Source organism: Homo sapiens, chromosome 5, assembly GCF_000001405.40.
Source record: "Homo sapiens chromosome 5, GRCh38.p14 Primary Assembly".
Classification (NCBI taxonomy): domain Eukaryota; kingdom Metazoa; phylum Chordata; class Mammalia; order Primates; family Hominidae; genus Homo; species Homo sapiens.
The window spans coordinates 82404325-82418479 of record NC_000005.10 but is presented as its reverse complement, the minus strand read 5'-3'; the positions used below and the strand labels follow the sequence as shown (position 1 = coordinate 82418479).

At 41.6% G+C, this 14155-nt stretch overlaps 1 long non-coding RNA gene across 1 annotated transcript; it reads left to right on the top strand.

Moving 5' to 3' along the window:
* The first annotated feature begins 11109 nt into the window (after window positions 1-11109).
* On the top strand, window positions 11110-12812 carry LOC124901019 (uncharacterized). The gene is made up of 3 exons (XR_007058845.1): window positions 11110-11174; window positions 12097-12231; window positions 12719-12812. It is a non-coding gene; the product is annotated as an uncharacterized LOC124901019 (long non-coding RNA).
* Window positions 12813-14155: the final 1343 nt, after the last annotated feature.

Below are 14155 nucleotides of genomic sequence, written 5' to 3'. Positions count from 1 at the left end.
AAGCTGCATAGAAGATCATAGCTTGAGATATTTATCTGGCTGTCCTTGTGCACATCCCTCCTCCTCTTTTCGTTCATGGGCACCAGAAGAGAGCATTCCTAAGAGAGCATTCCTCCTCCACAAAAGCCAAAACAAACATCCAAAGAAACTGCTGCGCCAAGTGCAAGGTGAAGAGTCTTTTACTCCTGCTTACGAAGCCAGTTTCCCTGTCCCAGAGACTAGATAAAGTTAGGGAAGGGTGGAGATGAGACAGAGTTATGACCCAAAAGGGAGGCAAGCATACAGGAGGGAAGAGGGCTCCTGAAGGTCAGGGGTGAGGGAACAAACTCTTCTGCCACAAGAAGGAGGGAATGAAGTGCAGTAGAAGCTGTTCTCCAGTGAAGCCCATCAGCAACTCACCATCTGTGGAAAGGGAGGAGACCACCCCTCATATTGTCTTAAGCCCAATTTCTGCCTCCAAAGAAAGAAGAAGTAAAAACTAAAAGGCGGAAATGAAATCCACAAGCAGACATCCCGGCGCCACACCCTGGGCCTGGTTGTTAAAGATCAACCCCTGACCTAATCGGTTATGTTATTTATAGATTACAGATATTGTATAGAAAAGCACTGTGAAAATCCCTGTCCTGTTCTGTTCCGTTCTAATTACTGGTGCATGCAGCCCCCAGTCACGTACCCCTGCTTGCTCAATCGATCACGACCCTCTCATGTGGACCCCCCTTAGAGTTGTGAGCCCTTAAAAGGGACAGGAATTGCTCACTCGAGGAGCTCGGTTGTTGGAGACTTGAGTCTTGCCGAAGCTCTGAACTGAATAAAGCCCTTCCTTCTTTAACTCGGTGTCTGAGAGGTTTTGTCTGCGCCCTGTCCTGCTGCAGACAGGCCATTATTCAGGGGTCCTAGACACATGGACACCCTAGGACGAGAAAGTGAAAGGCTTAAATACCTTGTGTAGGGATGGAAGATTGAGAGACAAATTTCACTCCAATGAGAAGGAAAAAAATAGGACCAGTAGTGATTTCTCAACAGGCAGGCTACTATTAAAGTCACTCCCACTGTTACATTTGGATCCGTCATGAGATACTACTGGAAATGTTGTTTTTGATGCCACATGCAAGGTATATCAGGTCTGGGATTTTATTTTGCCCTGTCTATAATCTGATTATTAGGATATTACTGTTTCCTTGATGCTAGAAGACACCAAACACCTAAGTTCAAAACAATAGGCCTTGTTACTCACAGCACAGCAAACAGTGTTATGGTGTTAGTTCTTCTTACCCTCAAGTCCTACAGTGCTGACACGGAGGGCAGTAAGTTGAGTTACAGGAAGGAACACTGGTATGGACTGAACTGTGACCCCAAAATTTATATGTTCCAGTCTTAACCCGTAAGTGCCTCAGAATGTGGCTGTATTTGGAGATAGGGTTTTTAGGGAGGTAACTGAGTTAAGTCAGACATTAGGGTGGCCCTAATCCAGTGTGTCTTGTGTATTTCTAAGAAGAGGAAATCTGGAAACAAACAGGTACAGAGGGAAGACTATGTGAAGACTTGGAGAAGAGAGCCATCTGCAAGCCTCAAAAGACACCAACGCTGCTGATACCTCGATCTTGGACTTCTAGCCTCCAGGACTATGAGAAAACAAATTTCTGTTGTTGAAATCACCCAGTCTCTGATACGCTGTTGTGGCAGCCCTAGCAAATGAATACAAATGCTGAACATGGGGAATCTGCTGCTTTTGTAGCAGCCTGCTCTTTGTCACAGAGGGAGACATTACCTCATCTCTTAAGGATTCTGGTTGCAAACACAACCTTGAGAAATGGCCCAGGTAGAGAGCAACCAGGGCCTTGCATTTTGGCATACCCAGTAAGACAGGTAGAGGTGTAGGGCTCCACAGGGGACTGTCTCCTTCAACAAGATGCTCAGCATGTATCTTGCAACATCCCATCGGAGAAATCTTAAAGACTGCATTGTTGAAATGAAAAATTCAGTCATGCAAATATCCCCATCAGCCTGTGGAATCCAACTGTAAAACGAAATATCTCTCAATTATAAAGGATTGACACAGGTGAGTAATAGCATATCATTAACAATGTCACATCATAAGTCTTGATTCGGCCAGGCACAGTGTCTCATGCCTGTAATCTCAGCACTTTGGGTGGCCAAGGTGGGTGGATCACTTGAGGTCAGGAGTTCGAGACCAGCCTGGCCAACATAGCAAAACCCCATCTCTACCAAAAAAAAAAAAAAAAAAAAAATAGCCAGGCATGATAGCACATGCCTGAAGTCCCAGCTACTCAGGAGGCTGAGGCACAAGAATCGCTTGAACGCAGGAGGCAGAGGCTACAGTGGGCCAAGATCATGCCACTACACTCCAGTTTGGGTAAAGTGAGACTCTGTCTCAAAAAAAAAAAAAAAAAAAAAAGTCTTGGTCCTCAGGGAAACAGTGGCTGGGAAACACTAGTAGCAATGCCACAATGTGGTGTGTGTCCATGTCTGAGAGACTACCCCAGAAAAATAACAAGGCTGTGTTCATAGCCCTCTGTTATATTTGCTTTAACACATAATGATAGCCCTTTGAGAAAAGTGCAGGAGATAGGCAGTGAGCAGGGTGTCATGAGCTTGTAATATGTCAGCTTGGCTAGGCTGAACTGCCTTTTCCAGAATGCCCTTCCTGCAGGCAGGGCTGGCTTGATGGACATGCAAACAGTGCAAATGCCCAGTGACCTGTCCTCAGAAGGAGGGCCTTGTGCTTTTGGTTTAATACTCAGTATGGGAATATTTATTGTCTTTCAATTCATGTTCTATCAGTGCAGTCCAGTGAGATACTGGAGCATGTTCTGGAGGCTTGAAGAATTGGCTCATGCATGGTCCTGCCTCTTACTTCCTTCCCACCTCCCTGATTGGTTCTCAGCCACCCACTCTCCTTCCACCCATATTGACTGTTACTTCCCTCCAAACCAGTGGGGTCCTGGGCACAGAGCATGGCAGAGTGGAGACAGGCATGCACTCAGGGTCAGGGCCCAAGTTGCCTATGAGGTCTGTGTTTACCTGCCAAGTATCCCACGTGTTAGGGACTGTGACATTAAATGGTAAATAATAAACACCATGACAGGTCCAGAGAGAGAATGCAAAAGAAAGTGCAGTTGTCCTGCTTTTTTGCATAAAGGGCTCCCACATTTTCATTTTACACTGGTCCCACAAATGATGTAGCAAGTAGCTGCCTCATTTGTGTTTCATGTGTCAGGATGTGCCATGATAGATATATTTGCACAAGATTTAGAGCAAGAAAGTAAAGCAGTTATATTGTTTTTGACCTTCAAAGGGTAGAGGAAGATGCTTTTGCAGCACAGGTACATTATCATGTATCTTCTGGCTTAACACACAAGCACAGGGAAGAGATTGGGCCTACAGATGCCCCACCTGGATCCTCCATCAGCTTCTTCAATTTCTGGGCCAGCTATGTCTTTAGCTCCATGACGAGGGGCACCCACTTTTCCCATGTGACACACACATCATGGTGGGAGATAGCAAGGTGGACTTGAGTTCCGATATGTGCTGTGGCTTCCAATTGTTCTTGCTCACCTCCATTTTATGCCCATCTTCCCTTCCAGGTGGCCTACTTTCTGGACTTAAAGCTGCAGCAACAGACACAAAGACTACTCCCTAATCAGCTCCTGCAATTGTGTAAAGTTAAATGCCTGTGACAACAAACCTCACATATTACACCTTTTTAGTTGTTCTGCCTCTGTAACTGAACCCCAGCTAATAATTATGGCCAATTTTTAAGTCTTAGAATGCTTATAACTTGGTTGAGGAAATAGGACTCTACATGTCAAAAAAAAAAAAAAAAAAAGAAAAAGAAAACTACAAGATATAGGGAAACAATTTCTTACCTTTGCACACCTTTGAAATTTACCAACATTGTTTTATTTAGTCATCACCACAAATCCTGTGAGGTAGATTAGGACAGATTTTACAACTCCCATTTTCCAAATGAAAGTAAGAAGTAGAGAGTTAAATGTGTTTTGGCCAATGTCACATAATTAGGGAATGGCAGAGTTGGAATTGATCTAGTATCTTTCTGGTACACTCTCATTGACCTAGAGAGCCTCTTCCAAATATGAAATGTTAGGATAGACTATGAACCTCAGATCCTCAATAAAATGAAATTCATTTTAACCAGGAGATAAGGTCTCTGGTTTTCATTGATGTAATTATATCTTACTCCCTAAATATTAAATCTGTAGACCATGAATCATTCCATTTAGACCAGTCTCCATTGCCCATGCCCTCACTCTGGAGCACAGAGCACTCTAAACTCATGCTTAGCACTCAAAAGTCAGACTTCCAATCTCAGAAAATGGAAAGAACATGCCAAATAGCTGCAAGTGTCTCTAAAACTCCAGTTTCTCACTGGTACTTTTTAATGCTTATAAAACACAAGTTTTGTAGGTAACAGACACGCAGGCAGTTCTCATCATTATAATTCATGCATCTGACACATTGAAATGAGGTTTGGCAGTTGTTTTGTGGTCATGAAAAAAAAATCAGCCTCATTTAAAATAAATCATCAAAATTTCGCAATAGAGTACAAAAGTAAGTGAGACTTTGCTTTTCTATTTCTACTAACCACAGGAATGAGAAATAAGACATTCTATTAAAGCCTTAGAGCTACATCCATATAAAGTCATGAATACACTAGAAATGTGCAAAATTCAGAGAAAATGCAAGCTTGCATCATTTGTCAACAATTGTACAATCAGCTCAAATAAGGTTTTTAGGTTATTATAGTCTTTCCTAATGGGAGAAAGTCACAGTTGAAATTACAGGGGAAATGACCAAAGTCGCATCTAATGAATTTCTGCTCCTCTGAACTGGTCTTATAAACACATAAACTATGATTGTGCTCTCCATAGCCACTATCCAGGAGACCCATGGAGAGCCAGTTCCTCTGCTCCCTGCCACCTATGATACCGCCATGCCTAGTGCATGTTCCCAAGATTCATGGGCACAGGAGTCACCTGGGCCAGAGCTTCAGGAGGCCTTGGAAACACCTGGTCTGCTCCTCGGAATTACTCTAGTTCACGTGTGCATGCCAGCCTCCTTATAAGGTGAAGATAGCTTCATTGTTTAGATGTCAGGCAGAGGAAGAACAAGCATGCCCCAAGGGGCCCTCGTTTAGTCTTTAGAACAAACATTTAAGGAGAGTTCACTTCATGTCAGACATTATACTTGACCTGGGGACACAATGTTGGAAAAGACAGATGTGTCTTCCCTCACGGGGTTTACAGTCTAGCGTAAGAAGTAGATATTAATGACAATGACAAATATCATTGTCAGTAGCTACTGATATTAATGACAATGACAAATGTGTCATTGCCAGCCGAGGTACGCACTGGGAAGGATGGGATTGTGGTTGCTGGGAGCTATAAGAGAGAGGAGCCTGGCCCCATTCAGGGGACTCAGACAAGGCCTCCCTAAGGAGGTGACATCTGTGTAGATTCTGGAGGATAAAAAGGCAAAGAGATGAGGACAGCTCAGCACTTCTAGCGGAGGGAACACAAGTCTGAATGTGGGATCCCAGCGGGAACCCTGATGCTGGCTAAGTAAGACCAACAGTAGGTCCTGAACTAAGGAGATGAGGTGGGCACAGCAGGGTGGGGGCTGATGGAGAAACGGGGAGGGCAGGTAAACACAGTATGAGGTTGAGGAGGGTAGCTTCCACCTCCAGCAGTGCCGGGCCTCAGGCCAGAGATGCTCCCATAAATAAATAATGGGGAGGGGAACTGGTATACTCGGTCCCTATTAGGCAACAACAAAGTTCCACAGAACCTTAAACAGTATTATCGCGAGAGCATGTATAAAGGGCCTGCTGCCCCTTTAAGCTCTCCCTTCTAAGTTCCCAGGGCTGTGTTTCTTCTTCCCCACAGCCCGTTGCCCCTTCAGCCTCCTCTGCTGCTCAGGCCTGCTTCTCCAGCCTCGTTGCCTGCTTGCACCCTCCAGTTCCTGCAGTGAGGTATCAGAGGAGAAAATGCCATTATCTGATTTCAGAAACAAACTCTGAGGGGGTGAATGGCTAATAGGGATACTTCCCAGAAATTGTGTACTCCTTAAAGAGCTATCAACTCTAATGAATTCCCTGAAGGAGAGCTACGTTTCTGAGCAGAGGAAGCTTCCACACATTTGAAGAACTGCGACCAGCCAATTTGTATTGACTTTGGAGAAGATGACCTCCCTCAATTTCATATTAATAAACTGGAGGCTTCAGGAAGCAAAGGGCAAGAGGGGGAGAGAAGGAGGCCAAAAGTCATTGCCCAGGAGTGGTCCCCTGGTGCCTCCTCCAGTGATGGAGCCCAGATGGAGAGCAGCAGAAAGACACCTGTGGCCCCTAATGAATGGGTCCGAAGCTCTCTCCTGAAGCCAGCCACTCAGAAGTGCTGAAAACAAACAGGAAACACCACCGCTTCTCAGAGTGGGTTCTCACACCTTGAAAACTTTTCCCTCTGTCCTGGTTTTAACTCAACACAATAAGTATATTAAGAAAAAAAATGGTGTGTATGTATACACATGTATTCCCGAGCTGATTTTCTAATCAGTATGATTCCAAAGTATTTTATCTAATAAATATCATGTGCCAACACTATTCTGAGTAAAAATCTTATTTGATTTCCCAAAAATTCCATGAGCTAGGCTAGGCACTGTTATTATCTCCCATTTTAGAGGAGAAATTGAGGCACAGAAATGTTCAGCAACTTCTCCCAGGAATAAAATAATTTTACAGCTAAACATCTAAAGAAAGATTTTTGTTTGTCATTCTAAAAGTTCAAAAATAGGCCAGGCGTGGTGGCCCACGCCTATGATCCCAGCACTCTGGGAGGCCAAAGCGGGCAATTGCTTGAGCCCAGGAGTTTGAGACCAGCTTGGGTAACGTGACGAAACCACATGTCTACAAAAAATACAAAAATTATCCAGGTGTAGTGGCACACCTGTAGTCCCAGCTACTCGGGAGACTAAGGTAGGAGGATCACGTGAGCCTGGGAGGGCAAGGCTACAGTGAGCCGCGATCACACCGCTGCACTCCAGCCTGGGTGACAGAGCAAGACCCTGTCTCAAAAAAAGATTTTTTTTAAGTTCTAAAATAAATGTGATATTTTACATTTTATATAAAATCAGGTAGAATTCAGGAGATATATATTAATCCAAACTTCTATAATATTTTGGTTTGTATTTTTGTTTTTGTTTTTGTTTTTGTTTTTGTTTTGAGACTGAGTCTCACTCTGTTGCCCAGGCTGGAGTGCAGTGGCACAACCTCGGCTCACTGCAACCTCTGCCTCTCTGGCTCAGATGATTCTCCTGCCTCTGCCTCCCTAGGAGCTGGGATTACAGTTGCCAGCCATCATGTCTGGTTAATTTTTGTATTTTTAATAGCGATGGATGTTCGCTATGTTGGCCAGGCTGGTCTCCAGCTCCTTACCTCAAGTGATCCGCCCACCTTGGCCTCCTAAAGTGGTGGGATTACAGGTGTGGGCCACCACGCCCAGCCAAACTTAATGTAATATTTCGAAACCATCAAATAAGTATTTTTTTTAAAATATCGACTAGAATTTTTTTAAAAGAAGTGATTGGTGTAAATGTTCTGAGGTTTTGAGTAATACATAGGCTGCCATTTAGCTCAGGGTCTGCCTGAACCTAGTAGAACTTAATATTCACAGCATTGGAGTGATGGTCCATTAGAGGCTATATGAGTTTGCTATAGGGCTGCCACAGTCAAGTACCGCAGACTGGTGGCTTAAACAACAGAATTGCATTTTTCTCACAGACCCGGAGGCTAGAAATCTAAGATCAAAGGTGACAGGATTGGTTGCTTCTGAGGCCTCTCTCCTTGGCTTGCAGGTGGCCATCTTCGTTCTGTGTCTTCACAAGGTCTTCCCTCTGTTCATCTACCTGTGTCCAGATATTCTCTTCTTATAAGGACATCAGTCACATTGGATTAGGGCTTACCCTAATGACCTCATTTTAACATTAATAGCCCCTTAAAAGACTGTATCTCCAAACACAGTCACATTCAGCATATGCATTTTGAGGGGACACAGTTTACCCCATAACAGAAGCAATGGCCTGTGAATTAAGAAAAAGTCACTAAGACGAACAGCAATGTGCCAAAGAAGCTAGGAAACCTGGGTTGGAGATGTGACCTCTTTCTGAAGGGATTGGATCCAGAGGATAGGAGAGAATTCTTTGAATAATAGCCCAACTTCGCCACTCTCCAAATGGGAAAAATGCTTCATCGCTGCAGTTAGTATGAACCCAAGAGGATAAAATTTGGCTGAAACTCATGCTTCCTTCCCCTAATTGTGACCTTAGATTGTGATTTGATCCTCTTAAATTAGGTGAGAGTTCGAACAGGAACATATATGAAGTAGATTTGATGTTAGAAATTAATGAGCCCAATTCTCCCTCTCAGCCTTTTGAAGGATCTGGCTTAATTATGTGAGCAGGAGCCAATTCCAGTGATATCTCCTGAATTGTTAATACATTTACCTTCAGAAAAAAATAGAGCATACTTTGTCGAACAAAAGTGCAGTACAGATTAATCCTGAAAGTCAGAAATCTATGAGTGGTTTATTTGCTTTTTAATAACTTTTTAACTTTAATTTTAACTTTCAGCACTCAGTTTTCCTTTTCTAAAAAAAAACTGCCAACTTACATTACATGAAATGTGTTTTACTTTTATAATTAAGAAAACTTCTAAACAATTACCACACCCTTCTAAAAGTCTCTTTTTTTGGAAAAATAAAAGTTTTTAGCTATTGTGTTTTTAATTTGTCCAGTAATTTTTATTTTACATAATTAAATAAGTATGATCCTAAACAGGGTACAAAGCAGTTTTGAAGAAGGAATCACATATTTTCATTATAACTTCAGAGGAGTGTCTAGAAAGGGAATAATTTGGGGGCCACAAGCAACATGGGCTTCTTTTTGCAAATGTTCCTCCTGTTGTAAATTGCAAATAAACTTGTTAGAAAGAGGAAACCATCCTAACAAATAATACAATCAGCATGAGACAGGAACCAAAACCCAAGGTCATCTCACCTAGGAAATTAGAGATTTAAAAATCCAACTTGGAAGTTTTCTACAGAACAGGGAAAAAAATATTTGCCATACATGGATATATCTGAGAAAGACCTATTATCTCAATATATAAAGAACTCCTGAAATCAATGAAAATGCAACCAGCAAAAAGTGAACTAATGTCTTGAAGAATCATTTCCCAAAAGAAAATATACAAATGGCCAATAGGCACATAAAAATATAGTTAATTAACATCATTAATTATCAGGTAAATACAAACAAAAACTGCAATGATTTATCATTTCACACCCACTAGAATAGCTAAAATTTAAAAGACTGATACCTAATTGCCAAGGATGTGGAGCAACTGGTACTCTCAGATATTGATGGTATTAAATGTAAACAAGCTCTTTAAAAAAAACTGGCAGTTTCTTGTCAAACTAAATATACATCTGCCTTATGAAAATTATATATTATTATAATTCATATACATCAATTACAATCCTAGGTATGTACCCAGGAGAGATTAAAATTTTCATCCATAAAAGACTTGTACAATAATGTTTATAGCAGTTTTATTAAATAGCTCCAAACTGGAAGCAACTCAAATATCCAACAACGGGAAAATGGAAATTGTGGTCTATTCAGACAGTGCAATACTACACAGAATATTAAAGAATGAGCTACTGATGCATGAACAATTTGGATGTGTCTTAAAAATAGTAGACAGTTCAAAAGAAGCCATTTATAGAACAGTGCATTCTGTTTGATTCCATTTATATGGAGCTCAAGAACTGCCAAAGCTAAACTACGCAGAAAAGAAATCTGAACAGTGGTTCCTAAGGGGTGAGGTTTGACTGGAAGAAGTCAAGGAAACTTTCTGGGGTGGTGGATATGCAGGTGTGGAATTCTTACCAAAATTCATTGAATTGGACAGTTAAGATCTGTGATTTCAATGGTATATAAATTTTACTTCCATAAGAATTACAAATGGTTGTTACACAAACTAGTTTCCAGTATTTCATGTATGCCCCATTCCATAATGTTCATCTGTGACTTGCCTGACTTGTCCACTGACTGCTGACGTGTCCCCTGCACACGGTGACACAACCTTTCCAGGGAGGTCAAGTGCACCAGTGAGCTTTTCTTGTTTGTCAGGCCTCACATAACGTGGCATGTCAGAAAGAGATTAAAGTCTACAAGACTCTCTTTAAGAGCCATTAGATCTGAGTGCTCTTAGCAAGAGCAAATGTGGTAAAGTGGAAAGAGCACAGGCCATGGAGCCACCCAGACTGGAATTTAAGTCCCAGCTCAACCATTTACCTGCTTTGAATAGGTGACTAGCTTTGAGCAGGTTATTTAATGCCTCAGAGCATTTTTCCTTTATTTGTAGAACTGATTATTGTTAGAACTAGAGATTATGTGAATAATGTATCTAGATTAAGGCCTTTTACATTGTAGGCCCTTAATAATATATAGCTAACACTGGCCAATCAGCTCCCTGACAGCAGAGGACCTTGACTGCTTAGCACATGGTATGGGTTCAATAAATATTCACAAATAAAATAACAGCCTGTGAAATTTCTATTTTTTTTTTTCAGTCCTATGAGAAAAACACCAAGGGGTATAACCAAGAAGAAGCAGGATAGGTAATAAATAGGAAGTATTTTTGCCAATATATTTTTCTATCTCGGCATACATCCAGTGTTTTATCTGAACCTGTGCTGTCAGATATGTTTCAGAATTCAGCATGTTTCTGATGTTGTAAATGTAATATGGTGCATATACCGTATATCTATAACCCACCTGGTAGACTGGGGCAGGCCCCACATCAAACACATTAATATTTCCATAGCAAAACTTATATTCACATTAAATGAAATCAAGACAAAAATATTCTCAACAGTTCAGGTTAGTTCTGCCATCAAATAAATTACTTTAAAAAACTGAAAAATAACCATTGTTTGATGTCAAAACTGTTGGGATTCCAGAATTGTTGGAGAATCTATACTAGCTAACATTCACGTAGCACCTTCAATGCACCGGGCACTCTGGCCTACACACTTTGTATATATTAACTCATTTACTCTTCATAACAACCCTGTGAGGTAGGTACTATTAGTATAATTTCCACTTTATAGGAAAGGGAATTGAGACACAGACAGGATAAGTAATTTGCCCAAAGTCACACACTTAACCTCCTAGTTGGTACCTTTAATCACTCTTCCCTACTGCCTCCATCTCCCCTTTTGTTGGTATCTGCAATGTTGGGCTTTGAGGAAGGATTTACCCTTACTCTCCACACTCGCCCCCACCCCCCAAAATTAAAAATAACTAAGAATTATCAGCACTGATCTTTCCATCCTTTCTGATGTTTCTTCTACTTGGAAAACTGAAGCTTGCTGAAAGAACTGACTTTAAAGATCTGGCATCCTTAGATTCAAAAAAGATTTCTCATTTGCCTGAGAATTAAACTAATTAAACTGCAAACAAGAGACCCAGGTGGGCTTGTGGAGGTGCGGGGGGAGGGTGGGAAATCACAGACTTTTCAAACAGATTACTAAGAGAAGGCCATGTTCAGAAAACGTTTAGCCAGAAGTGTGCCTTGAAGAAGAAAAGCCAGAAGCCTACAAAGCAGAATAACACTCTTTCAGCAACCACCAGGTCATTAAAACATACATTCAAATTTATGGGCAACCCAGCCACCTTATCAAAGGAAAACAATATAAAAGTTCACAGCTCCGAGGGGGAAACAGTGGAACCTACTCCAGAGGAGGGGAAAGCACGTGCATCAATCACGTCGCTGGCCCGGTGTTAACAACTTCTAAACAGTGAAGGTGAAAGAACATTTGTTCACCAAAAGGTCACTTTCTGAATTCAAGGGGGAAGGGTTAGGAGCACATGTTGGAAAGTTTGGCTCAGTGTGCATGTTATTTTACCCTCGGGCCCAGTTTGCTTACGAAACAAGGTTGGTGGTGGTGAGCAATTAGTCTGGCAGCTAATCAGTGTCATTGTGCTGAAACCTTTCAGGAAACCATCCCAACTTAAAGGAACAACGCTTCCACACGAGGTCTGCTTCTCACGGAAAATACCAAGCCCTAAGGAAACACCCTTGGGAATATTCACTTCCCCTCAGGCAGTCAGTATTTACCGAGAGTCTGTAAGGTACTTAACCCTGCGGTACGTGCCTGGGAGACCTTGTTAAAAGAAACCCAGTTTCCTCCCTACAAATGGTTTAAAATCTAATTGGGGAAATATAAAAACATAATCATGTCAGGGATGGAAAATATATATGAATGCAAGAGTTGGCAAAATGTTTTTCTTTCTCTGTTTTATATACAACTCAAATTACAATCTTCATTCCAACCTCGCTGAACTCTCAGAAAGTAACTGAATCCACTTAGGTCGAGTATTTCCAAACAGTAATGTTTGTCTAAAGCAATTTCTCTACTCCTCACATTACCTCAACACAGAATGGAGAACAATTCATATATATGGGGCAGAGCAAACAGAAACCCAGGTCTTGCTCAACAAGTGTTTGTGGAATTAAATTGAAATCCTGCCCGATTTTGCCCAACCTAGAGGGTTTTGTTCATGAATGTGACTGGGAGTGATTCACTAACCACCAGTGACTTGTGCTTATGTATTTCAGAGAGACATTCTCCTCAACACAACATACATTCCTTCCTGTGGGAAAGCTTTGGACTGCATGGCCAGAACTTCCTACGTAATCCTTTTATGTTCACAAAATGCTGATTTGCTACTGTTTAAATTAATATGTTCTTAGTATTGGCCTGCCCTTAAATATAAAAGCCACTCCAAAATTATCTGTTGTCTCGAACATGTTTTGAGATGGAGGGTGGGAAAGCAGTGAAACATGAAGAGAAACAAACTGGCTAAGAAATTAAACTCAAGTTGAGCAGAAGAGGAAGGGGCTGCCAGTCCCCACCGCCAACCCTGCCTGATACCACAGAGGGCAATTTCCACCTTTAGAAGGTCATTCTTAACAATTCAGGCTGACAGCAGTAAAGAAGGTTTTCTTCTCTTACTGTGAGGTGACTCACCCCCCCTTAATCGTTTTACATGCATAGCCAACCAAGTATGAATAGACTGATATGGAATACCAGCCTGTGAACTTCATATTCACACAATGTGGTAGGGCACTTATTCAGTACAAATAAGCAATTTAAAAATAGCAAATGTATATTTAGTCTTCATAAACTATAACCAAATTCTTATCACATCTAAGCTGGAGTCAGCCAAACATGAGCTGAAGTCAGCCAAACTTTTCAGGGGGTAGTAAAAATCGCCCAAGACAATATCCTATATCCAGTAAAAGAATGTAATTCCTCTCACCTCCCTGTTTATCCTTTTTAGAGTCCTCTTTACTTAGGTTCTTCCACTTTCCTAAATTAATGACTATTTGCTATGGTTTGGATGTTGATCCCCAATGTTGGAGGCAGGGCCTGATGAGAGGTGTTTGGGTCTTTAGGATGGATTCCTCATGAAGAAATTAATGCCCTCCTTGGGATTGGGGGCACCAAGTGAGTTCTCACTCTATTAGTATTCACAAGAGTTTCCTCAAGGACTGGTTGTTATAACGAGTCTAGCACCTTCCCTGTCTCTTGCCTCCACTCTCATCATGTGACTTCTGCACATGTTGGTTCCCCTTTGCCTTCCACCATGAGTGGAAGCTTCCTGAGGCCCTCATCAGAAACAGATGTTGGTGCCATGCTTCTTGTACAGCCTGCAGAACCATGAGTAAAATAAACCTCTTTTCTTTATAAATTGCCCAGCCTCAGGTATTTTTTACGCCAACACAAACAGACAAAGCACCATTATAATTCAACCCATTTTTTACAGGGAGCCTATTGTATGTCTGTTGGACGATGGAGATGCTACATGAACAAAAGAAAAGTGGCTGCTTCCTCTTGAAGCTTAAAGTCTTGGTGAAGACTTTAAACAGTCTTTAAACAGAGAGGTTCATGGTCTTTGAGACTTATTACAGCAACCAAAAATAACTGGCAGAGGTTCAAAACCCATCCCTTTAAGAAAAAGCAAGTTAAAGTTGATTATTTTTCCAATGAAA